The 24373-nt window shown below is 47.7% G+C and overlaps 1 protein-coding gene across 1 annotated transcript in view, besides 5 other annotated features; it reads left to right on the forward strand.

Annotated features, from left to right (window-relative positions):
• Window positions 4163-4542: an enhancer, noted in NCBI's record as "active region_29406". NCBI's record gives its function as "activates an Ori minimal core promoter by ATAC-STARR-seq in GM12878 lymphoblastoid cells {active_cell/tissue: GM12878}" and the evidence as "EXISTENCE:reporter gene assay evidence [ECO:0000049][PMID:35858748]".
• Window positions 20016-20899: an enhancer, noted in NCBI's record as "H3K27ac-H3K4me1 hESC enhancer chrX:9981409-9982292 (GRCh37/hg19 assembly coordinates)". NCBI's record gives its function as "activates a minimal SCP1, AML or CMV promoter by ChIP-STARR-seq in primed H9 embryonic stem cells {active_cell/tissue: H9 hESC(primed)}" and the evidence as "EXISTENCE:reporter gene assay evidence [ECO:0000049][PMID:30033119]".
• Window positions 20900-21783: an enhancer, noted in NCBI's record as "H3K27ac-H3K4me1 hESC enhancer chrX:9982293-9983176 (GRCh37/hg19 assembly coordinates)". NCBI's record gives its function as "activates a minimal SCP1, AML or CMV promoter by ChIP-STARR-seq in naive H9 embryonic stem cells {active_cell/tissue: H9 hESC(naive)}" and the evidence as "EXISTENCE:reporter gene assay evidence [ECO:0000049][PMID:30033119]".
• Window positions 21604-21773: a silencer, noted in NCBI's record as "silent region_20654". NCBI's record gives its function as "represses an Ori minimal core promoter by ATAC-STARR-seq in GM12878 lymphoblastoid cells {active_cell/tissue: GM12878}" and the evidence as "EXISTENCE:reporter gene assay evidence [ECO:0000049][PMID:35858748]".
• Window positions 21814-21873: a silencer, noted in NCBI's record as "silent region_20655". NCBI's record gives its function as "represses an Ori minimal core promoter by ATAC-STARR-seq in GM12878 lymphoblastoid cells {active_cell/tissue: GM12878}" and the evidence as "EXISTENCE:reporter gene assay evidence [ECO:0000049][PMID:35858748]".
• Window positions 21901-24373, forward strand: part of WWC3 (WWC family member 3) — a 129221-nt gene continuing 126748 nt past the window's right edge. The window contains 2 exon segments of the mRNA NM_015691.5: window positions 21901-22320; window positions 22323-22505. Of these exon segments, the coding sequence (NP_056506.3) occupies window positions 22226-22320; window positions 22323-22505 (278 nt within the window). The 5' untranslated portion in view covers window positions 21901-22225.

Below are 24373 nucleotides of genomic sequence, written 5' to 3' on the forward strand. Positions count from 1 at the left end.
ATTTGGATTTTATAAATTACGTTGCAGTCATAAAGCATGCTTTCCGCCAGGTGACGGTATAAGCCCATCAAATAGTTTGAGAGTACAATATTTGGCCTGAAATTGAACACTACTGCTGTTAATTGCTCAGTTGTTTATTTTGACATGTTACTTGCACAGGTGTTATTCATTATATTGGGTTTTTTTTTGAAAGAATGACTATAGATTTATTTGTAAAATTGGTATACAGAATAGGAGAAAAAAAAGTCACCAGTCGTGGCACTACTCAGGTATAGCCAAGGTTAAGGATCTGACATTTATCTATTTATCTTTATGTTTATCTTTATGTCGGGAAAGAGAAAAACAACACTTTTTTTTTTTTTTTTGAGGCAGAGTCTCACTCTGTCGCCCAGGCTGGAGTGCAGTGGCGCGATCTCGGCTCACTGCAAGCTCCGCCTCCTGGGTTCACGCCATTCTCCTGCCTCAGCCTCCCGAGTAGCTGGGACTACAGGCACCCGCCAACACGCCCGGCTAATTTTTTGTATTTTTTTAGTAGAGACAGGGTTTCACCGTGTTAGCCAGGATAGTCTCGATCTCCTGACCTTGTGATCCGCCTGCCTCGGCCTCCCAAAGTGCTGGGATTACAGGCATGAGCCACCACGCCTGGCCAACAACACTGTTTTTTAAAAAATGTGTCCCCCTCCATACAATTGGTTTTTAAATATTTTTTATTTTTGTGGGTATATAGTAGGTGTATATATTTATGGGGTACAAGAGATATTTTGATACAGGCATGCAATGCATGATAATCACATTGTGGTAATGGGGGAATCCATCCCCTCAAGCATTTATCATTTCTTTATGTTACAAGCAATCTAATTATATTCCTTTTGTGTTTTTTTGTTTGTTTGTTTTTGTTTTTGTTTTTTGAGACGGAGTCTCACTCTGCCACCCAGGCTGGAGTGCAGTGGCAGACAGATCTCGGCTCACTGCAAGCTCCACCTCCCCGGTTCAAGCGATTCTCCTGCCTCAGTCTCCCGAGCAGCTGGGACTACAGGCGCACACCACCACAACCAGCTAATTTTTATATTTTTAGTAGAGATGGGGTTTCACCATATTGGCCAGGCTGGTCTCAAACTCCTGACCTCATGATCCACCCTCCTCGGCCTCCCAAAGTGCTGGGATTACAGGTGTGAGCCACCGCGCTCGGCCTCTTTTAGTTATTTTTAACCTACAATACATTATTGTTGACTGTAGTCACCCTGTTGTGCTATCGAATACTGGATCTTATTCATTCTATTAATAATTATAGTTTTGTACCCGTTAACCATCCCACTCCCCACCCACTACCCTTGCCAGGCTCTGGTAACCATCCTTCTACTCTCTGTGACCATGAGTTCAATTGTTTTGATTTTTATCTCCCACAAATAAGTGAGAACATTCAAAGTCTGTCTTTCTGTACCTGGCTTATTTCACTTAACAATTGTTTTCTAATCTATCCTTTCACATTGAATGTATCTTGAGCGTTTTCCCAGTATCCCTAAATTCTTTGATATGGTGATTTCTAAAAGGTGCACTGTATTCCATCCTGTTGATGCACTGTGACTTGTTGCACTGATTTAAATTAGTCATTTAGGCTGTTTTAACTGTCCTTAAATTATAAAAGATTTCCCATATATAAAATATACAGAGAAGAGGCTAGGTGCCTATATACCCACAAAAATAAAAAAAATTTAAAAACCAATTGTATGGAGGGGGACAAATTTTTTTAAAAAAGTGTTGTCGGCTGGGCGTGGTGGCTCACGCCTGTAATCCCAACACTTTGGGAGGCCGAGGTGGGCGGATCACAAGGTCAGGAGATCGAGACCATCCTGGCCAACATGGTGAAACCCTGTCTCTACTAAAAAAAAAAAAAATTAGCTGGCTGTGGTGGCGCGTGCCTGTAATCCCAGCTACTAAGGAGGCTGAGGCAGGAGAATTGCTTGAACCAGGGAGTTGGAGGTTGCAGTGAGCCGAGATTGCGCCATTGCACTCCAGCCTAGCGACAGAGCGAGACTCCATCTCTCTCTCTCTACATATATATATATATATATATGTATATATATATATATATATATATGAGAATATTACAGCCACCCAGTGAATCACTATTCCATTTTAATATGTGTTAATTTGTTGCCATCTTTGCTTCAGACATTTTTAAGAAACAATAGTTTACAGGTAGAGTTGAATGGTTCCTCTATCCAGTTGATTCCTATCCTTCCATCCCACATGTAACCTCTAATCTGAAGGTTGTGTTTATCCTCCCTATCCCTGATCACAGACTTTAACTACAAAAGAATGTTTCCTAAACAATACAGTATTGTTCTGAGTTTTAAAGTTTCACACATACTCACAAGAGCATATCCTTTATTCACTTAACATTATGATTTAGAGATTTACCTATGTTGACTTAGACCTAGCTGATTTTTGCTGTCCTACTATATAATTTATAAATATAATATACTTTACTAACACATTCTCCTATTGACAAACACTTGGTTGTTTCCAATCATTGGGAATCAATGCGCTTGGGATGGGGCAGGTGCGGACTAGTGCCACCAGGGGGCGCGCGGAGAGCAGGATTGAATGGAGACGTGCGGCGTTTGGCACTCCTAGCGGAGGAATGGCTGAGCCTCTGCAGTTTCCAGGATACTGCCAAATCGCATTCCATAATGCCTCGGATTTCAGTTCTGCCAGTAGCGAATGAGATCCCATTTCCTCACATTCTCGCCACTACTGTGGGGTATGAGACTCGGCTTTGGCCTCTCTGAGGTCAAGCATCTTTTTATGCTTATTGGCTAGCAAGGTTTTGTCTTTGTGAATTTCCTACCCAGAGCCTTTGCTTCTCATCCCGTTAGGTTTGTCTTTTTCCCATTGATTTGTAGTTTTTAAAAATATATTCTTAATCCGGAGAGGATCTCTACAGCAAGCACGTGGCACGTGCAAACTGAGTAATTTAAGGTGAGTTTAACAAAGGGGCTGTGTGGGGCCCTCCCTATCCACCGATTCCATATCCCCAGATTCAATCAACCAGGGATTGAAAAAATTCAAACAAAAGTTCCAAAAAATGTTTCATTGGTTTGTTGTTGTTGTGGTGGTGGCGGTGGTGGTGGTGCTGTTGATGAGGTCTCACCATGTTGCCCAAGCTGGTCTTGAACTCCTGGCCTCAAGCAATCCCCCTGCCTCCTGCCTCACCCTCCTGCGGTCCACAATGTTCCACTGTGGCTGATGTGTACTGTGTAGTTAGACCTCAGACGGTTGCATCTGTGCTGAACATACACGGACCTTTTCTTGTCATTATTCCCCAAACGATACAGTACAACAACTATTTACATAGCATCTACATTGTATTAAATAGTATACATAATCTAGAGATGATTTAAAGTGTACAGGGGATGTGCCTAGCTTATATGCAAATATTACACCATTTCATATCATGGACTTGAGCATCCTTGGATTTGGGGATCTGTGGGGCATCCAGGAACCCATCTCCCACCACCCTGTGGATACAGAGAGATGGACGACTATATTTCTAAAAGCAGGAGCAGGTTGGGGGCAACCAACGAGGGCTGTTTCAGTACGAATGGCTGGCAACAGTGGGCGACATCTCAGCACCCCAGGCCTGAAATGGCAAACAAAAGTGTTGGGTGACCATTCTCCCTAGATGTCTCAGCATTCCCACAGAGTCTGGTTGCTGGGAGCAAAGGGCCCTGAGAAGCTCTGGTCAGTGCTGATTGGAGAGCCACCAGTCTTGGGAGCTACAGATAGCATCTAGTAAAGATAGAGATCGTCTCCCTCTGCAGAGGCATTCCCACATCCTAAAGCCTTCTCTGTCCCCTCCCAGGAGATAAGGGCTTACCTTCCAGCGTTACAGCCCAAGAGAGCTTTTCCCTCAGCCCCTGGGCAGCGAGTGACATTCCAGGTCATGTCTATGGAGGGGAGGACGGCAGGTCATGAAGTCACCTCAAGGAAAGCTCCAGCTCCCAATTCAGGGCTCCCCTCCTGCGGCGCAACCTGCACAGCTGCAGGCGAGCACCTGGCCCTCTGCGTGGCCCATGGGAATCGGGATGGTGGGGACCAACCCAGGAGCTTGCAGAGCTACTGCTTTCTGCTGTGAAGAACACACAGTCTGTGTCTCTGAACCGAGCCCTGCGATCTTTGGTCAGATGTGTGCATGGAACCAGCACAGGCTACCTCGTTCCCTGGCAAGAGGGGACAATCTCAGCCCTTTCGCAGTGTCTGACTTCATAGGAATGCGCAGAAGGTGAAGTGAACTGTGCTAACAGGAGCCACACTGCAGTGGAGGCAGGCAGCCAGCTCTGGGCTGTGTTATGAGGCCAGCGTTTCCATGATGCCAAAGAGAACGGGGGTTTCCAGGGACTGGGGGAGGGCAAAATGGAGAGACGTGCGTCAAGGGGTGCAAACTTTCAGTTTCACCAGATGAATACATTCCAGAGATGTCATGTATTGCACAGTGACTATAGGTGACAATATTGCACTGTGTACTTGAAATTTGCTAACAGGGTAGATCCTAAGTGTTCTCACCACAAAGAAAAAAACATAACTATGGGACGGGGTAGATATTTAATTAGCTTGATTGTGGGAATTATTTCACAATGTACACATATATCAAATCATCAAGTTGTACAAGTAAGATATAAACATAAAATTTGTTTCTAATTTAAAAATTGTATAGTAATTTCCCCACATAACGGGGCATAGTGGCTCACGCCCGCAATCCCAGCACTTTGGGAGGCTGAGGTGGGAAGATGGCTTGAGCCCAGGAGTTTGAGACCAGACTGGGCAACATAGCAACACTCCGTCTGTACAAAAGATAAGAAAATTAGCTGGGCATGGTGGCGCACATCTGTAGTCCCAGCTACTATGGAGGCTGATGCAGGAGGATTGGTCTAGACTGGGAGATTGAGGCTGCAGTGAACCATGATCACACTACTGTACTCCAGCCTGTGCAACAGAGCAAGACCCTGTCTCGAATAAAACAAAACAAAAGGAAACAAAAAAAAACACCAAAATCCCCCATACTTACTTTGTTTGCTTGCATTTAGATTTTGATCCATCTAGAGTTTATTTAGTTGAGATGTGAGTTTGGGATCTGTATGAGACAGAGTAAAAGCTAGTCTGTTTTAGAAAGGAGATTCATAAAATTCAGTGACTTGGCCGGGTGTGGTGGCTCACACCTGTAATCCTGGCACTTCAGGAGGCCGAGGCAGGTGGATCACCTGAGGTCAGGGATTCGAGGCCAGCCCGGCCAACATGGTGAAACCCTGTCCCTACTAAAAATACAAAAATTAGCCGCGCATCGTGGCACATGCCTGTAATCCCAGCTACTCGGGAGGCGGAGGCAGGAGAATCGCTTGAACCTGGGAGGTGGAAGTTGCAGTGAGCCGAGATCACACCACTGCACTCCAGCCTGGGTGACAGAGTGAGACTCCATCTCAAAAAATAACAATAATAATAATAATTCAGTGACTTAAACTACAAATCTCACCAAGTGACCGAGGTAGACACTCGAGATCACTGGGTGACTTGGTTCCAAAGAGTCATTTGGGGATTCAGGTTTCCTCTTGTTTCCGGTCCACCCCCTAGGATGTTGTCCTTGTCTCTAGCTTGATGGTGGGCTGCCTCCATCTGTGGGTAGCAGCAAGTGGCAAGAGGAAAGAGAGCATGAAGGACACACACCTCTAGGATGTCTTAAGTCCTGGGCCAGAATCCACACCTCTTACTTCTACCCACACTCCATGGACAACTTTAACATTATAGCCACCCCCAACCACAAATGGGGCCACCAAATGTATCCATGTGTCCTGCAAGAAGGGGAGAATGGATTCCAGTGACGATGGATACCAGTCCCTGCCAGAGAATTCAGCACAGATTTTCTCCAGGTGGCTGCAGCAGAGTTGCTCAATGGTTTTTGTTTTTGTTTTGTTTTTTTTTTTTTTTTTGAGACAGAGTCTGGCTTTGTCGCCCAGGCTGGAGTGCAGTGGCGCGATCTCGGCTCACTGTAACCTCTGCCTCCCGGGTTCAAGCAACTGTCCTGCCTCAGCCTCCCAAGTAGCTGGGATTACAGGCACCTACCACCATGCCCACTAATTTTTGTATTTTTAGTAGAGATGGGGTTTCACCATGTTGGCCAGGATGGTCTCGATCTCTTGACCTCATGATCTGCCCGCCTCGGCCTCCCAAAGTGCTGGGATTACAGGCGTGAGCCACCACACCCAGCCAGGTCAATGTTATTGATTGAATCGTGCCATTTTCCCCACACATTCGCACCCCCACTTTATCATGTGCTAATTTCTTATGCTGTGTACTCATTTCAGTTCCCTTCTTCATTAGCCTATCTGCTTACTAATGCTTCAGTAATGCACTTTTTCAATTATGCCAGCTTTACAGTGTCTTTCAGTATCAAACAGACCAAGTCCTGCCTTTTCCACTTAGTCTTCTTTTTTGCAATGTTTTCTGACTCTTTCACTGTGTTTTCCATTTTTAAGATAGCTTATCTATTGGTAAAAATATATTGTTATACTATTTGGGATTTTATAAAATTAGTAGATTAATTTGGTGATTTCCTATTCAAGCTCTTCCCTCTGGTCAAGACTTCCTTTGAGTCTTCTAGTAGTGCCTTAAGTTGTTGTTGTTGTTTTTAAATATAGATTTTGCCTATTTATTAAGTTCTTTTTTTTTTTTTTTTTTTTTTTTGAGACAGAGTCTTGCTTTGTCACCCAGGCTGGAGTACAGTGGTGCAATCTCGGCTCACTGCAACCTCAACCTCCCGGGTTCAAGTGATTCTCCTGCCTCAGCCTCCTGAGTAGCTGGGATTACAGGCGCCTGTCATCATGCCCGGCTAATTTTTGTACTTTTAGTAGAGATGGGGTTTTGCCATGTTGTCCTAGCTAGTCTTGAACTCCTGACCTCAAGTGATCTGCCTGCCTCAGCCTCCCAAAGTCCTGGGATTACACTTGACTGGAGCCACTGCACCCGGCCTGTTTCTTAAGTTCTTAAACATTAGTTTATCTGGTTATAGAGTTTTAAATTATCAGGTGTTTTCTTTCAGCTGGTGGAAGATATTATTCGTTGCATTCCTGCTTCTTTTGTTACTGGTGCGATTCTTATTATCAAATGACTTCATTTTCCTTTGTAGGTGATTCTTTTCCCTCTCTTCTTGTTAAATTTTTCTCTTAACTTTTGTGTTTTGAAGTTTTAATATGACACGTACAGGTGTGGATTTGTTTTTGTTTATCTACTCTGAGAATTCATGTCTCATCAACTCCAAAAGAATTTAAAATAACTGGTTACTACAACCAAGTTTTAGTATTTAAGTTTTATTATCTTAATTTCTCAGGCTACTAATTCTCAAGTAGATTACGTTTGTTTCTGCCAGATACTCCAGGGACTGGACTGGGGCCCGTTTTTCCACTAATTTCTCGTCTGGAATTTCCATGCCACAAGGATGGTGTGCATTCACACTCCACAACTCCATGCATGGACTTGAGATTCTGTTTTCTTCTAAGATTGTTTTCCATTCCCTCCCTTGGAGTATCTACAAGAAACAAGCTTCCTTGGCCAGGCACGGTGGCTCACACCTGTAATCCCAGCACTTTGGGAGGCTGAGGAGGGCGGATCACCAGAGGTCAGGAGTTCGAGACCAGCCTGGCCAATGTGGTGAAACGTCGTCTCTACTAAAAATACAAAAATTAGCCGGGCGTGGTGACGGGTGCCTGTAATCCCAGATACTCGGGAGGCTGAGGCAGGAGAATTGCTTGAACTGGGGAGGCGGAGGTTGCAGTGAGCCAAGATGGCGCCAGTGCACTCCAGCCTGGGTGACACAGCAAGACTCCATCTCCAAAAAAAAGCTTCCTTGCTACTTCCCTGGGAGGATGAGAAGTTTGCCTACTCCTCCCTTTCATGAAGGAGGTGGTCAGTCCATGTCCCAGCTTTATGCAGGAGTCTCAGTTCCGCCTAGCTTCCTGTCTTATGGGGTCAACATCATGTCTTTTACTTTCGTGCTGGAATGAAAACCTCAGCCCTTAACAGTGAGTGTCTAAGTAGGGATACAACCCCCTTCTGACTGAGGAAAGGGATTTTTCTTCCTAGCTTGTCTGCGTATTTGATATTGGTATTCTATTTTATACAGCATGCCTATGTGTTTGGAGAAATATGGAGGGTAGGGGATGTATTACCCAATCTGCCCAGTTGCCAGAACTGCAAGTTGGAGTCTGTTTCCAATTTTTCAATACTATAAATAATGCTATGATGAATATCCTTGCCCATTAATGTTTATGCACATCTCTGGTTATTTTCCTTGGATAAATGCCTAGGAATGGTCAAAGAGTACGAACATTTGTAAGGTGTTTGATATATATGTGAGGCCCCATTGCCAGCCCTCAAAAACGCACCACTTCACATTCCCTGGAATTCCTGCTTTCCGGTGCCCTTGCCAACATTTGGAACCTTTAAAAAAAAAATCACCATTTAGTTAGATTTAAAAAATACTGTGAAAAAAAGCATAGTGTGAAAACAATATTTTTATGTTTATAACTAGTTAGAAAAAAATCAAGAGTTGGGCACAGTGGCATGCGCCTGTAGTCCCAGCTACTCAGGAGGCTGAGGTGGGAGAATCACTTGAGTCCAGGAGTTTATGGCCAGCCTGGGCAACCATAAATAGTGAGATGCTGTCTCAAAAAAGACAGAGAGAGGCGGGACACGGTGGCTCACGCCTGTAATCCCAGCACTTTGGGAGGCCGAGGCGGGCAGATCACGAGGTCAGGAGATCAAGACCATTCTGGCTAACACGGTGAAACCCCGTCTCTACTAAAAAATACAAAAAAAAAAAAAAAAAAAAAAAAAAAAAAGCCGGGCGTGGTGGCGGGCGCCTGTAGTCCCAGCTACTCGGGAGGCTGAGGTAGGAGAATGGTGTGAACCTGGGAGGTGGAGCTTGCAGTGAGCCAAGATTGCGCCACTGCACTCCAGCCTGGGCGACAGAGCGAGACTCCACCTCAAAACAAAACAAAACAAACAAACAAAGGTGAAAAGAAAAGAGAGAGGGAGGAAGGAAGGAAGGAAGGCAGGCAGGTGGGCAGGTGGGCACGGTGGCTCATGCCTATAATCCCAGCACTTTGGGAGGCTGAGGCAGGAGGGTCATGAGGTCAGGAGTTCAAGACCAGCCTTGCCAAGATGTGAAACCCCGTCTCTACTAAAAAAAATCCAAAAAATTAACCAGGTGTGGTGGTGGGTGCCTGTAATCCCAGCTACTCAGGAGGCTGAGGCAGAGAATTGCTTGAACCCGGGAGGTGGAGGTTGTAGTGAGCCAAGATCATGCCACTGCACTTCAGCCTGGGCGACAGAGCGAGACTCCGTTTCAAAAACATACACACACACACACATGCGCACACACATAAAATAAGGCTGAGTATAGTGGCTTACACCTGTAATCCAAAAACTGTGGGAGGCCGAAGTGGGAGGACTGCTTGAGCCCAGGAGTTCAAAACCAGCTTGGATGACAAAGTGAGATCCTGTCTCTACAAAAAATTAGCCAGGCATGATGGCACGTGCCTGTGATCCCAGCTACATGGGAGGCTGAGGTGAGATGACAGCTTCATCCCAGGAGGTTGAGGCTGCAGTGAGCCATGTTTGTGCCACTGCACTCCAGCCTAGGTGACAGAACAAGACCCCATCTCAAAAATAGAATAAAATAAAAATAAATAAATGCTACTGTGCACTCTGTTGAGCATAAAACTCAAGCAACACATCACTGAAACAGTGATTACTGTTACCTGAACTTTTGTCTAGATTGATGCTTCTTTTTATTAGCCCCACCCATTTCTCCCCTTCTTCATCAATGCTTCTTCAACTTAATGTGCATGGGAATCACCTGAGGAGCTTGTTAAAGAGCAGGTTCTGATTCTGAGGAGCTTGTTAAAGAGCAGATTCTGATTTTGTAGGTCCAGGGTGTGGCCTGAGAATACTCCCCGCATTTTTTTTTTTTTTTTTTTTTTGAGACTGAGTCTCGCTTTGCCGCCAGGCTGGAGTGCAGTGACACGATCTTGGCTCACTGCAACCTCTGCATCCCAGGTTCAAGCGATTCTCCTGCCTCAGCCTCCTAAGTAGCTGGGACTACAGGTGCGTGCCACCATGCCCAGCTAATTTTTGTATTTTTAGTAGAGACAGGGTTTCACCATGTTGGCCAGGATGGTCTCGATCTCTTGACCTCGTGATCCGCCTGCCTCGGCCTCCCAAAGTGCTGGGATTACAGATGTGAGCCACTGCGCCCGGCCGAGAATCCCCATTTTTAATGAGGATGCTGATGGTGCTGCTCTGTGGACCACAGAGAATGGTTGACTCATTTTGTTGTTGGCCACAATCAGACCACAGTGGAATTCACCCGGTCAGAGCTCGGTAACTTCCAAAGCACATATGGCTGCAAACAGCATTATTAGGACCTTCTATCAACACTTCTAGCTAAAGTGACAGAGTTAAACTGATCCTTTATAAGGAGCATAAATCAGTTGGTTAGTGATGAAATAGCTTATTGAGATGACAACCAAATCACACACAAATACACAGACACACACACACAAATCTATAAATGGGAGAGAATGTAAAACAAGGGCAGAAAGTTAGATTGAGATTGTGCAAAAACGAAAACACAAGCCCCTTAGCAGGAAGGCAACTTGCATCATATCAGATCTTATCAGCTTCAAGCAGACTCTGGAGAGGTGAGTAAGCTTTCTGAGTTAGGGTGGAATTTATCTGGTAAATAATATGGTATTTCAATATGGTTTGCCATTATTGACATAGGATTGCAAAGATAAGTTTGTAATTTTTTTACACGAGCACATTCATCTGGACATTGTATGACCTTTCGGAAGTGTTGATCATAGCCTTCAAGAGTGTTGTGTGTGCACAAAAAGGGATTTATTCAGGTTTACAAATTTCACAGTCAATTTATTTGAGTTACGAGTTCTAATGCCTAGTTTTCCTTTAACCTTCTAAGTTCAGTCTAGAAATCTTATTATTCTCTTTTCTTTTTAAATTCTATTTTAAGTCCAGCAAATAATAGCAACCACTTTTAAGAGGCCTTTGGAAAATACTTGACCCTATTTACAAATTTAAACACCTTCATGCATTTTAAAATATATTTAAAACTTGTAACAGACTACACTCAATTCCCTTCTTAATTGCTTCAGTTGTCTCAATAAACAAATACATTCCCAAGTTTACAAATAACTCTTTTAAATTTAATGAATTAAATTGACATGGTGAAACTTAAGTTCTCTTAGAATGTTCCAACACTGTATATAATTTAGTTTTCATGAGCCTCCAGTCAGTGACAAGAAAAAAAATAGTTTTCAACTAAGATCACAAGATTACTCAATTATACATTTTACAGTGATTTCCAAAGCTTAGAAATTCTTTTAAACTTTATGAATACATGGAACATCAAATACGCACAGATTCTTTCTGCATTCCGAATATGAATCCTACAGTTTTGATTCTCTTAAGAGTTGCTGTACTTTCCCTAAATCCTCCTGGAGCTGAAAGATTCACCCTCTTACAGCTGACCGTTACCATCCTAGTGACTGAGCCGGTATACACACCCAAGATTTGGGCTGCACCCTGACTAAATTCTTGTCAATGACCCTAATGGGGTACTTGAACCCTACTCATAATTGCTATGTCCCTGATGACATAATTTACGGGAGTTGCTCTCGAGGCTCCTAACCCTTAGTTTTAAGTCACACACGTTATTGATTCTTCTACATACACCTGGACATTTGTAGGCTGACAGCATAGATCACTTGAGATTTTGTATTTATCTGGTTCTTAAGATGTGTATTTTTCCCTCCAGCTCTAAAGACCTTTGCGCTTAAAGGAATCCTAAGATAGATAGATAAATGTCCTTTCTATTTGCTAATGAAGGCCTTTGGAATCTGTGGAATCTTTCTAGAGGCTTTAATCAGATTTGGGTTTTGGGGAAGGATTTTCTTGTAGGTGGTGGTGTTTTCTTCCCTAAAGGCACAGCATGTCTGGTGTCTCTCTTTTTGTGATGACAGCAGGAAGATATCTTTTTATGAATACTCCAAATAATATTCAATTTTGGATACCTCAAAAAATGGCCTTGTCTGAGCCGTGGTCACCGATTTTGAGGTCATTTATTGACAAGAAGGTGTGATGTTAGCGATTAACAAGATAATCCTTTATTCATTTAAGAAATATATCTGGATTACCTGCTCTTTGCAGATAGACAGTGGAGAATGAAACATGGCTCTTTTCCTCCTGTTGCTTCTTGCCCAGGATTTCTCAGCCTTGGTGCTATTGACGTTTTAGGCTGGTAAGTCTTTGTTGTCCAGTGCCTTGAATGAGGTTTAGCAGCCTATAATCAGTGTCCTCTACCCACTAGATGCCAGCAGCACCGCCTCTTCCCTCTCCATAGTCTTGACAATCAAAAATATCTCAGATATTGCCAAATGTCTCTGGGGGGCAAAATCACCTCGTTGAGAACCACTGTTCTAGTCGAGTAGGGGAGAAGAGATATTAACAAGTAAGCACAAATACAAATTCAGTAGGGGTTATTGGCTCATGCCTGTAATCCCAGCACTTTTGGAGGCCGAGGAGGGCAGATCACCTGAGGTCAGGAGTTTGAGACCAGCCTGGCCAACATGGTGAAACCCCGTCTCTACTAAAACTACAAAAATTAGCTGGGCGTGGTGGCGGGTGCCTATAATCCCAGCTACTTGGGAGGCTGAGGTGGGAGAATCGCTTGAACCCAGGAGGCGGAGTTTGCAGTGAGCCGAGATTGCGCCATTGCATTCCAGCCCGGGTAACAGAGCAAAAACTCTGTCAAAAAAAAAAAAAAAGAGAGACATGACGTGCTACTGTGAGAAATCCTGGTGTCTTAGTCTGTTCTGTCTATAATAAAGTACCATAGAGTGGGTCTAGCCATCTTTCTTTTTTGTGATGTTAGCAGCCAGTAATGCTCAAAGCTGAGATCTAGTCAACCCTTGTAAGTTCTATTTGTTCATTCTAACTCTAATTTCATCACTCCTTTAGGATTATCTGGAATGCTTCTATAAAGAGCCACTTTGCTCATCTGCAAGTTGGATAGCCAGGGATCCAAGGTAAATCTGAACTTTGGGCAACTCATGGCCAATGTGGGCATTTGTGGTTTGCCTCTGGTCTACACTGGATATGGCTGCTACAGTTTACGGCATGTACTTGAGAGGTCCAGCATGTCATGCCTGGGGCTCCTGGGTTTGGTGGGATCTCTGGGGGCTTTCATGGCAGGCTTCTGTTTCCTGTGATTTCCCAGCACTGATTGGGACCCTGTGAACAGAGTTCTATAGACTCTGTTCCCTACTGAAGCAGCAGCAGGAGCCTGGGGGCAAGGTTCCAGGCATGTTAGTTTCCTAGCGCCACTGTAACAAAGGACCACAAACTGATGGCTTAAACCTACACAAATGGATTCTCTCACAGTTCTGGAGGCCAGAAGCCTGGAATGCAGGTGTGAGGCAGGGCCACTCTCTCTCCGAAGGCTCCAGGGTAGAATCTGTTCCATGCCTCTCTCCCAGCTTCTGGTGCTTGCCAGAAATCCTTGGCATTCGTTGCCTTGTGGCCTCATTACTCCAATCTCTGCCTCCATTTTTACATGACCCTGGTGTCTGCGTTCCTTCTGCCCTCCCTTATGATATGACACCAGTCATATTAGATTAAAGGCCCACCCTACTCCAGTATGACCTCATCTTAAGTAACTGCATCTACAAATACCCCATTTCCAAATAAAGCCACATCCACATGTACCCAGGGCTAGGCCCTCAGCGTATCCTTTTTTTGGGTGGGGGAGCACAATTCAACCCCCAGCACCAGGGACCCAAGAGAGTCAAGAGCAGTGGAGGTTCTTCCTGCCAACGGGGTCATGCTGACCTCGGGGAAGTACCTGGGCTGGCAGAGAAGGCTTGGGCAGCAAGTAGTTTGATTTGCAGGGACAGAGTCCCATTCTCAAAAACAATCTCCTCTGCTGTCACTGAAAATTGTTGTTTCTTTGGAATTTTCAAAGGTCACCTGACTAGAAGTGAAAGGTATGGACAGAGCCGGCTTCAAAGGCTGCTGCCTGTGCAATTGTACAGGGTACTGTGCTCCAAAGGGCTTGTGCTTATTGTAGTGGTCCACTGTTACCATCTGGAAATTCTTGAGATTTTTTTTTTTTTGGAACAAGGGGTCCTGCGTTTTCATTTTGCACTGCAAAACGTAGAGCACAAACTATGTAGCTGACCCTGGGTTGGGACATCAGGCAGGGGAGACGCATAGTAAGCTAAGGCAAAAATCAAGCTCTGTTACAGTGTGGTTGGCCTGCAGCTGGCTTCTTCTCCATTTCTACTTCTGGGCCAGGGAAGTTGAACTGTATATTACTGTGCAAGCCTAAAGCTGAGTCACAAACAGATCCAGGCTCTTCAATGTGCTTATCATGCAGAGCAAGTGTGAAAGTGGCTTGTGATTACACTTTGCTCAGGGATTGCCATAGGGCTTGGCACCTCTTAAATGATAAATAAACCCCTCTTGATTATGAGGTGAAGTAAGGCAAATACTACCCAGATGGCTCTGTGAATCGATATTGTAAAGTAAGTTTTTGTAGATGCCTACACCCCCACACCATCCTCTTCCATGGGGTGTAATATGATGCTTCTTAAACTAACAGCCCTGGGGTGGACATTTCAATGAGTTCCCCCGTGATGCTGCCGCTGCTGGTCCACGAGCCACACTGTGAGCAGAAAGAGTCCTAGAAACAGGCCAGGTGCAGTGGCTCACGCCTGGAATCCCAGCACATTGGGAGGCCAAGGTGGGCAGATCTCTTGAGTCCAGGAGTTTGAGACCAGCCTGGGCAACATAGTGAGACCCCATTTCTACAAAAAGTTAGAATATTAGCCGAGCATGGTGGCTTGTGCCTGTGGTCTCAGCTACTCTGGAAGCTGAGCGGGGAGGATTGCTTGAGCCCGGGAGATTGAGGCTGCAGTGAGCCATGTTTGCGTCACTGCACTCCAGCCTAGGTGACAAAGTGAGACACTACCTGAAAAAAAAAAGAGAGAGAAAGAAAGAAAGAGTCATAGAAACAAAGAACAACTAGTTATAAAGTCAGGAGGTGTGATGGTTAATTTCATGTGTCAACTTGACTGGGCCACTGGGCCACGGGGTGCCCAGATATTTGGTCAAACATTACTCTGGTTGTGTGTGTGTAAGGGTGTTTCTGGATGACATCCACATTTGAATTGTAGACTGCCTTCTCAGTGTCGGTGGGCCTTGCCCAATCAGTTGAAGGCCTGGCTGGACCACAAAGGCTGGGTAGGAGGGTGCTCTTGCTGTGTGACTGCTTGAGCTGGAATGTTGGGCTTTTCCTGCCTCTGGACTCAAACTGAAACATTGGCTCCTCTTGGATCTCAAGCCTGCTCACTTTCAGACTGGAACTGACACCATCAGCTCTCCTGGTTTTCAGGTTGTCAGACTTGGACTGGAACTGTGCCATCATCAGCTCTCCAGCTTGCCAACTGCAGATCCTGGGATTTGTCAGCCTCCATAATTCCATGAGCCAATTCTTTATGATAAATATCTCTCTCTGTCTGCCTCTTTCTCTCTCTCTCTCTCTCTCTCTCTCTGTGTGTGTGTGTGTGTGTGTGAGAGAGAGAGAGAGAGAGAGAGAGAGAGTTTGGATATATATATATTGGAGCTATTTGTCTATACATCCCTGATGAATACAGGAGGTCAGATGGGATAGCTGGGCTTTAGTCTTAGGGCTGATGCATTTTAGCACTGGCCAGGTCATACCAGGCTAGTTACTTACATTCTCTGAGCCTTGTTTTCCCACTATAAAGTTTGGGCAGTATAAATGTTCTCATAAATTACACATTTGAGCCCAGGAGTTTGAGACAAGCCTGGGCAACATAGTGAGACTCCTTTTCTACAAATATATATATAAACCGGGTGTGGTGGTGCATGCCCGTAGTCCCAGCTACTCAGGAGACTGAGGTGGGAGAATCACTTGAGCCTGGGAGTTGGAGGCTGCAGAGAGCCGTGATCGCAGCACTGCACTCCAGCCTGGATAACAGAGTGAGGCCCTGTCTCAAAAAAATAATAACAATACATTATACATATCTCATAGGGTTTTTTTGACCTCAGCACTGGTGTCATTTGGGGCAGATCATTCTCTGGTGCTGGGCTGTTGTGGGCACTGCAGGATGTGTGCCAGCATCTCTGGCCTTACCCACTAAATGCCAGGAACCCCAGTCTCCCAGTTGTGCCAAGCAAACATGTCTCCAGGCATTGCCAAATGTCCCCTGGGGGACACCATCACCCGCCCCCCCAGTTGAGTCACTGATTATATAACAATCATCTTGGTTACCTGTGTCCAGAAATGGTTCCATTCATGTTACAAGAGAGGCTAATTTTAATGCTAGTGTCACCAAATGAAAAACAAAGATTGCTCATTTCTGAGTGAGATAAATTTTCCTTCTTGTCTCTGCAAGCCTGAGACTTCTGAGCTGCTCTGCCTGGCTCATAAAGCAGAGGTCTGTAGTTTTAAGGATCTGTTTTTCCAAATACACAGGGGACCAGAGCTCTAATCCTAAATAAGAGAGAAGCCAGCCAGGAGGAAGTATCTTGTAGTGTGCTGGCTCACGGCTGCTGCCTCTTCCTAAAATTATGGTGTGCTTAGAATACATTTTGAATTGGCCCCTTCACATTTTGTGGAACAGAACCCATGGGAAGGGGAGGAAAATAAGTAAAAGTGTAAGGCTGGAAGAGGAGACCTGGAGACGAAGGAAGTGAGTGGCTCTGAGTTTTCTAAGTTTGGGAGAGAAATTGGTCTACATTTTTAAAAAATCTGAATTTTAATCACCCAGGCACAAATGCAACGTGCTTAAAGCATGACAGCCATTCACTGATTCCAAGGATGATGTTGTTTTGTGATGCGCATCCAGACACGGGAATTAAGCGCTAAAATGAACCAAACGCAGACTGGCAGGTTTATCCACACAGTGGACGCTTTGGGAATACCCTGCCTGTCTTTGGAGTGGAAGATTAGGACATGAGAAAAACCTGAATTTTCAAAATGGACGCATCTACACAAATCAAGGAAGTCCCAGTTGAGAAAAGTGCCCCCCGTCCACACACGAAATCTAAACAGTGACTTTTTTTAATACAAGTCAAATAAGTGTCTAAAGTTTACGTCTTTACATAAAGCCATGAAATAAAACACCAAGAAATAACCTCACCCTGTCCCCATTCCAACTCCTGAGCCTGGGGAGGGTCCCCTTAGGGATCTTTGCAATTTACCCTTCCTTTGATGCCCCTAAACCAGCAAGACAGGAATGAACAAGAACAACATCTAATCTCCTCCAGTGCTTGTGGATTTGCATTATTTAAATATATGAGAAACACCCATAATTGAGTAATTATTCTAGCATTTAAAGAATGCCAAACAATGAACCATTTCTTCTTCAGACCTAATCCGGCCCATTTCCGTTTTCCTCTTAGCACAATGTGTAGAATTACCCAATGTGTCGCTTCCTAGAACACTTGATTGTTTATACAAGGTAGGCAAGACTTCTCTGGCGGTGTTTATTTTTCTCATTTTACACTTGATGATTGTAGCCTTTACAGATTTTCCTTTTCTAGACGCTTATCAAGTACTGAATGTGTATGGATCCAATTTTGCACTTTCCTTTTTACAAATAAAGCTTATCCTTTAGGCGAGGGCTGGGGAGAGAAGGCAGAATCTGATAGTAAAAATCTTCAGACTCTGTCCTTGTTGGAGTTACTCCTTAACCATCATTTTAAGGAAAGTATTCTGCAAGTTAGAGATCAGTGCATTGTAACAGCTTCAGAAAGGGGATTTCCCAGAGGGTCTGGGAGGAGAACAAAAGCATTTGCATCTCCTTTCCCCAGAGACTAAGTGGATTTTTCCTGAGCTGCTTTTCCATGTGAAGTCTTGGTGGGAGGATGGAGCACTACACAATGTTCGTGCTTTTGCTGTTGGCCCGGCTGTGGTTTTAATGCGGAGGAAATAAAGAATGTAGAATTGTGCATTCAGTTAGGACTCAAGACTCCTTCGCCCTGCAGTGTTTTGTGTGTGTGTGTGGTTTTTAGTCCGATGTGGAAAGCCCCACTTGACTGTAAGAAAGACAGGCCTTATTCTAACAATTCACACACACACACACGCACACACACGCACACACACACACACAAAGAGAGAGAGAGACAGAGAGAGAGAGAGAGAGAGAGAGAGATCGATCCCAATTTATGGCAAAGCTGGGAAGTCAAGAGTCCCTTCACACCCCTACCAATTTCTCTTCCTTTCCATCTCCATTCACAAGTCTTTAGGGACCATCAGCAAACGCCTGGGGCTAACATTGCACACAAGTGGAAAAGGACTAATGGTGTAATAAAGAGGTCTTGGTCACCCCAAGCGCTGGCCTCTTCCTCTCTGGTTCAGCTCCTTTTAGGAAGACAAATGCAATAGCCCCACTTCTGTTCTCTCAGGCAGAGAGTGTCCAGAGGCAGTGGCTGGGCATGTGGATGAAGTTTTCTCAGTGAGGGTCTCCAATCTCTCTTCTCTGGCATGCTGTGTCACACTTCTTTTGCCTCTATTAATGTGCAAATGAAAGTAGGAATGCCTCTAGATGTTTTGGTGATTAAATGAGCTCGTATTTGCTAAGTGCTTAGATGACAGTAAGTGTGCAGGAGCCTATCTTAGGTCAGGCTCTTTAGAAAGGGTGCCTGAGACGGGGGTTCTCGAGTGAGCGGCTGATTGGAGGCATGCTTACACGAGTAAGGGAGGCGGGACCGGGCAGGGGAGGAGCTGGCAAAGCTATGATTTCCAGAGAAGTACAGCCTCAGCCTGATCCCATGGGGGATCCCATGGGGAGCTCTGGGGTGTCAAGGGCATTCGAGTTTGTGTCACCAAGGCAAGGAAACTGGACGGTCAGCTCCTGGGGCTGGGTGTAATCTCTCAGACATCTGTGTTAATGAAGGGTCATCTTCACAATACTCCAAAAGAAGGGAGCCCGCCCCAGCATCTGCTATACAAGTAAACAATTTCATGACAGCAGCTCCATGTGCCAAGGGGCAAGAGCTCAGAACTTGGGAATCTGAACATCTGAGCCTCAGTTTCCTCATCTGAGGCACCTTCCCTTTGGTCTCACAAAGCCTCCCACGAGTCCCCAAATTGAGGTTGGCACCCTGGCTTCATTTGTTGACAAGTGACAATTGTATTACAAGGGCCTATTTCTATGTTTAGTCCCCAAGGGAGTGCAAGCTGAAGCACAGACTATCCTCTTCCCTGCAGCATGCCTACACGCAGCACAGTGTCTGCGCGTGGGAGGTCCACTATTTGCTGCCCGCCTGAACGGGTAGAAATCTTTCACCTTCAGTGAAGACTCCTCGGCGCTGGCCTCTTTGAGCTCCTAATTGGATGCAGTTTCCCCCACTCCTTGCTCTACCTGATGCTTTTTTCATCTTGCCTTTCCTTCTGAGTCCTTTGATGTGTGGTGTATGTGTTCTCCTCTTTCCACTCTCTCTCTGCAGAAGTCGGTTTCACTCCAATACGCCCCAGCCCCATTCAAAGTACTTTCGAGTGATAGATTTGTGTCCAGATTTGTGAGATTCTAAAAGGACCAGGTGACAGGGAGGGTGGAAATGCAGCTTCAGAACGGCCATGTTGGGTGGTAAGGTAAGAAGGCAGTGGCAGCCCCACTGGCGATAAATCATGCCAATCGGAAGGGAAGATGTCAGAGCAGGGACACTCAGCACTTGGGGCATTCCCTGGCACATGCGACATCACAAAATATGTGCTTTTTTGACCCTCCCACTCTTTCCCTTGGACATGTAATAATCACACATGTTTAAAAGGACTCATGCGGTGGAATTTCTCACATAGAACATTCAGGTAGGGGTAGATAGATACTTGGGGAGCAAGAAAGTTTCTGTGTTGTAGTAGGAGGAGGGAGAGGAAAGACCTTCCTTGGATAGTTTTTTGGACGTCGCTATACCTTCACAACTTCACATTCTTCTTCTTCTTCTTCTTCTTTTTTTTTTTTTTTTTTTTTTTTTGAGACAGGGTCTCTGTTCCATCGCCCAGCCTGGAGTGCAATCGTGCAAACACGGCTCACTGCAGCCTCGACCTCCCTGGCTCAAGTGATCCTCCCACCTCAGCCTCCCAAAGTGTTGGGATTAAAGGTGTGAGCCACCGAGCCCGGCCCCACATTCTTCTAATTTTTTTTTTGTTGTTGTTGAGATGGAGTCTCACTCTGTCGTCCAGGCTGGAGTGCAGTGGCGCGATCTCAGCTCACTGCAACCTCCCAGGTTCAAGCAGTTCTCCTGCCTCAGCCTCCCGAGTAGCTGGGATTACAGGCGTGCGCCACCATGCCCGGCTAATTTTTGTATTTTTAGTAGAGACGGGGATTTCACCATGCTGGCCAGGCTCGTCTCGAACTCCTGACCTCGTGATCCGCCCGCCTGGGCCTCCCAAAGTGCTAGGATTACAAGCGTGAGCCACCGCGCCCGGCCCATTCTTCTTTTTTAAAACAACCTTTCCCCTCATAAAAGTAATATTACCATTTTACAAAAAATTGGAAGGCAAATCATTTTTAAAAATCCCGCCAAAGGAATGCAAACTCTTGTGAGCATTTCAGGACATTTTCCTCCAGTCTCTTCCCCTGTGTATCTGGATTTCAATCAGGCTCTACCAGATATTTTTGTATCACTGTAACTGTTTAAAAATCTCCCTGATACTGTCCTGCATTTCCTGGCATAACGTGTTGCGGCTGTGGGTCTGGGGCACGAAGTAGGTGGGAGATTTAGAGCAAGACACAGCCCCAACTCTGGAGCTTCAGCTTCCCCAGCTGGGAGCCAGTGAAACAGAAGTTCCCGTCTAGGCTGAAAGTTTTAGGAGTTGACCCGGCTTCCTCCCCAGCAATGGTCTACTTGGGTCTCCGCTCAAACGATCAGACCCCACAAACCGGATGAAGCGCTCAGGGAAGGTCAAGGAACTCCCGCCTAGTGTGGGCCCCCAGGTTAGCCCTTCTAGGGCTGTCCTGGCGGGGACGCAAAGTGGCCACCTGCCCAGCTGCCCGCTTCCAGAGGCGTCCTCCCTGCGCCGCCCGAGAGGACCGGCCGCGGGCTCCCCCAGCTCCTCAGCTCCCTCGGCCCCGCCTTCAGGGGCTTTTCCCACCTTCGCGGGACCAGACGGGTTGTGTGGGAGACCGAGGGCGCAGCCTCCCGCCAAGTGCGCAGAGGGTCTCCAGACAGCCAGAGCCCGGGAGCGGGTGAAGGGAGGGCACTGCCCGCTCTCTCGGGAATTGTTTGCGCCCGAGGAGTCACCCCAGGCAGGCCGCGCCCGCAGTCCGGGTAGGGCGTCGTCCTCCCCGCCCGCCTTCCTCTACGCGGGGGCCCGGGGGCGGACTGACGCGGCGGCGCCCATCCTGGCCTCCATGCGGTTTCCCGAGGCCGGAGGAAGGTGGCGGAGCGGGAGGGAGAGAGCGAGGAGCGCGCGGAGAGGGAGGACGGCGGAGGGGGAGGAGCAAGCGGAGGGGTGGGGGTGGGGTCGAGGAGCCGAGCGCCGAGGAGGACCCCGAGGGAGACTGGGGGCGGAGCAGCCGGCGACGGAGAGGCGCGGAGGACGCGGGGCCGGGGGAGGCGGAGCAGCGGGAGTGGGTGGAAAAGCAGAGGCGGCGGGAGGAGCGGGAGCCTCCGTGGGAGATTCGGGAGGAGCAGCCGGCGTGGGTGGAGCCGCCGGCGTGGGAGGAGCCGCGGGGCCTGGGTGAGAACGGGGCGGGACGGCCGGAGGCGGGGCCTGCGAACGCCCTGCCCCTGCTCGCCCGGGCCGCGCCGAGGAACGAAGATGGCCGGGCGCGCCGCGGGAACGGAGGGGCGGCCGGCAGCGGCGGCGGCGGCGGCGGCGGCTCCCGGGCTGTGACTTCGCGCGCGGCGGCCACCCGGGCTACCTGAACGGAGTGGGCGGCGCGGGCAGCGGCTTGCTAGGGCGGGCGGGCGGACGCCGGTGCACGGGCGCCGGGCGGAGGATGCGCCAGGAGCGGCGGGCGGCTCCCCGCGGCCGCCCCCGCGCCCCGGGCGCCGGGCCTTAGTGCTGGCGGAGGAGGCGGCGCGCGCGGGGCGGCCGGGCGGCGGCGGGGCCCGCGCCGTCATGCCTTGGCTGAGCGGCGGCCGGCGGCGACGGCGGGGACAGCCGCGCGAGGCCCCGCGGGAGCCGCCGCCTTCTGCGCAGCCCCAGCGGGAACCGCGCCGCCGGCGCCCCCCGCCGCGGTCCCCACGCCCCCAGCTCCTTCCGCGCCGCCGCCGCGGGCCCGGGAGAGCGCCGAGCTGCCGCTGCCCGCCGGCTGGGAGGAGGCGCGAGACTACGACGGTCGCGTCTTTTACATTGACCACAACACGCGCCAGACGTCGTGGATCGACCCCCGCGACCGGTAAGCGGGCCGGCTGGGGGCGCCAGACCCGGCGCGGGCGCTACGACCCGGGCCGCCGGCCGGCGCCACCGCGGATGCGCTGGGGACACGCCCCGCCCAGCGCGGGGCCGCCGCCGAGAGCCCCCGGGCCCGGGCAGAGCTCGGAGCGCCTCCATCCCCGGAACCAGGGGACTCCCTGGAGTGCTCCGGTCCAGGCTACGATCGAGGCGCCCCCATCCCTTGGGCCCAGGGAGAGGATCGGAGACACCAGGAGGCCCTCGGGGCTGGGTGAAGATCTTTGGTTCCGGGGGTCCGGGAGAGGATCCACCCTCCCAATACCCCGACTCCCAGGGCTCTGACCAAGAATGGAGGTGCCCCTTCTCCAGGCCTCGAGCCCTCTGAGCGCCGAGGCCGGCCGCCTACAGGTCCCCCGCCGCTGGGCGGACCCTCTCATTCGGTTCCCTCACGTCACCCGCTGTCCGGCGCCTGGGAACTGGGCTCCTGGAATTTCCTCTCCTGGGGCTGACAGATGGCCCTCTTTTCCTTTCTCTGCGGCAGCCTCGCCCATCCCGGTCCCGGGCGTCTGCGGCCCACTGCCCCGGCCCTGGTTCTGCAGGTGTCCCCAGCCCCGCGGTGGCGAGATGAGCTGTCACCTTGGATCACAAACGTGCGCCCCAGCTTTGGGGTGCGGGTTCCCTGTCTGGCGGGTTCAGGCTGGTTTCCATCCAAAACCTGATGTCAGACGGGCCCTTGAGGGATTCCCAACCCTTTTGGAGTTGGAGAAGTCTGTTCCCAAACTCTAGTTGCTCTTTAGCGCCTTAAAACTCGTGAGTTAAAACTGTTTGAAATAGCCTTCTGTACTGCAGCCAGAATGCAATATGATTAGTCCCATATGCTTTTGGAATAAACGAAAAACAAGAATTGTATTTTAAGTTTCCTTTTTGTGAAAGATATGCATGGGGTACAAAGCTGTCTTATTCACGTATAAAAACCCAATCAAGTAAAAACTGATTCTTGTAAAAGCACTATCAGATTTCATTTAATTAATTCCATGTAACGAAGCTCTTCCTTAACTTTTTGCTCGATTGTCTACGGGTTTCGATTGTTCAACTGCTTTTACAGAGATGTATTTTGTGTGGAATTGGGATTTCTGTGGACATCAAGTGTTTCCACAGGTTATCTGATGTCTTGTCCTCTCTAGAGCAACTCTCCTTCCAGGGCCTGAGTGCCAAAAAGGAAACACCACAGGCTTCCCAGTGATTTGAAGACTTGCAAAGGCCCAGTGTGGTGACATTGTGCCTGCTTCCTCCTACCTGCACAGGGAAGGCGGCCTGCATGGCACTGGCGTCTGAAAATAAACTTTTGAGGAGAGAAGCTGCTGAATTGTTTGAAGATTTCTCTGAGTTCAAGCAGGGGAAAACAAAAGAAAGCAAAACAAAAAGATCGTGATTCCCTAACATTCTCGCTGAACATTGCAAACCTCTGGGCTCAGAAACCTATATCAATCCTAGTACAATTTTATGGGTTAAAAAGATGCCTAGTTATTTTGAAAATCAGGTGAGATCATGTTATAATTTTAACCAAAGGCTAGAGCCCCAGCTGTTTGATCAACCCTTGGATGGTTCTGGAATTGGTAGAACTGCTTGGAATGCAGTGCCCTTTTATACCATATGTATGTTAAAAACCCAAACAACTGGAAAATGAACCAATTAAAATAGTGTTTTGCTTAGAAAAGGCTAAGGCTCACTTTCCAAGGGTAATATAAAACAGTTGTGGTTATATTGGAGTGGAGATTCATGCTGAAAGATATCAATGTGAGGATTTTCTTTTTAATGGTGTAACCTGTGACAAACGTGAATGGACCATACAGAAATCAGCTTGGAGAATCT

Source organism: Homo sapiens, chromosome X (genome assembly GCF_000001405.40).
Source record: "Homo sapiens chromosome X, GRCh38.p14 Primary Assembly".
In the NCBI taxonomy this organism is placed as follows: Eukaryota; Metazoa; Chordata; class Mammalia; order Primates; family Hominidae; genus Homo; species Homo sapiens.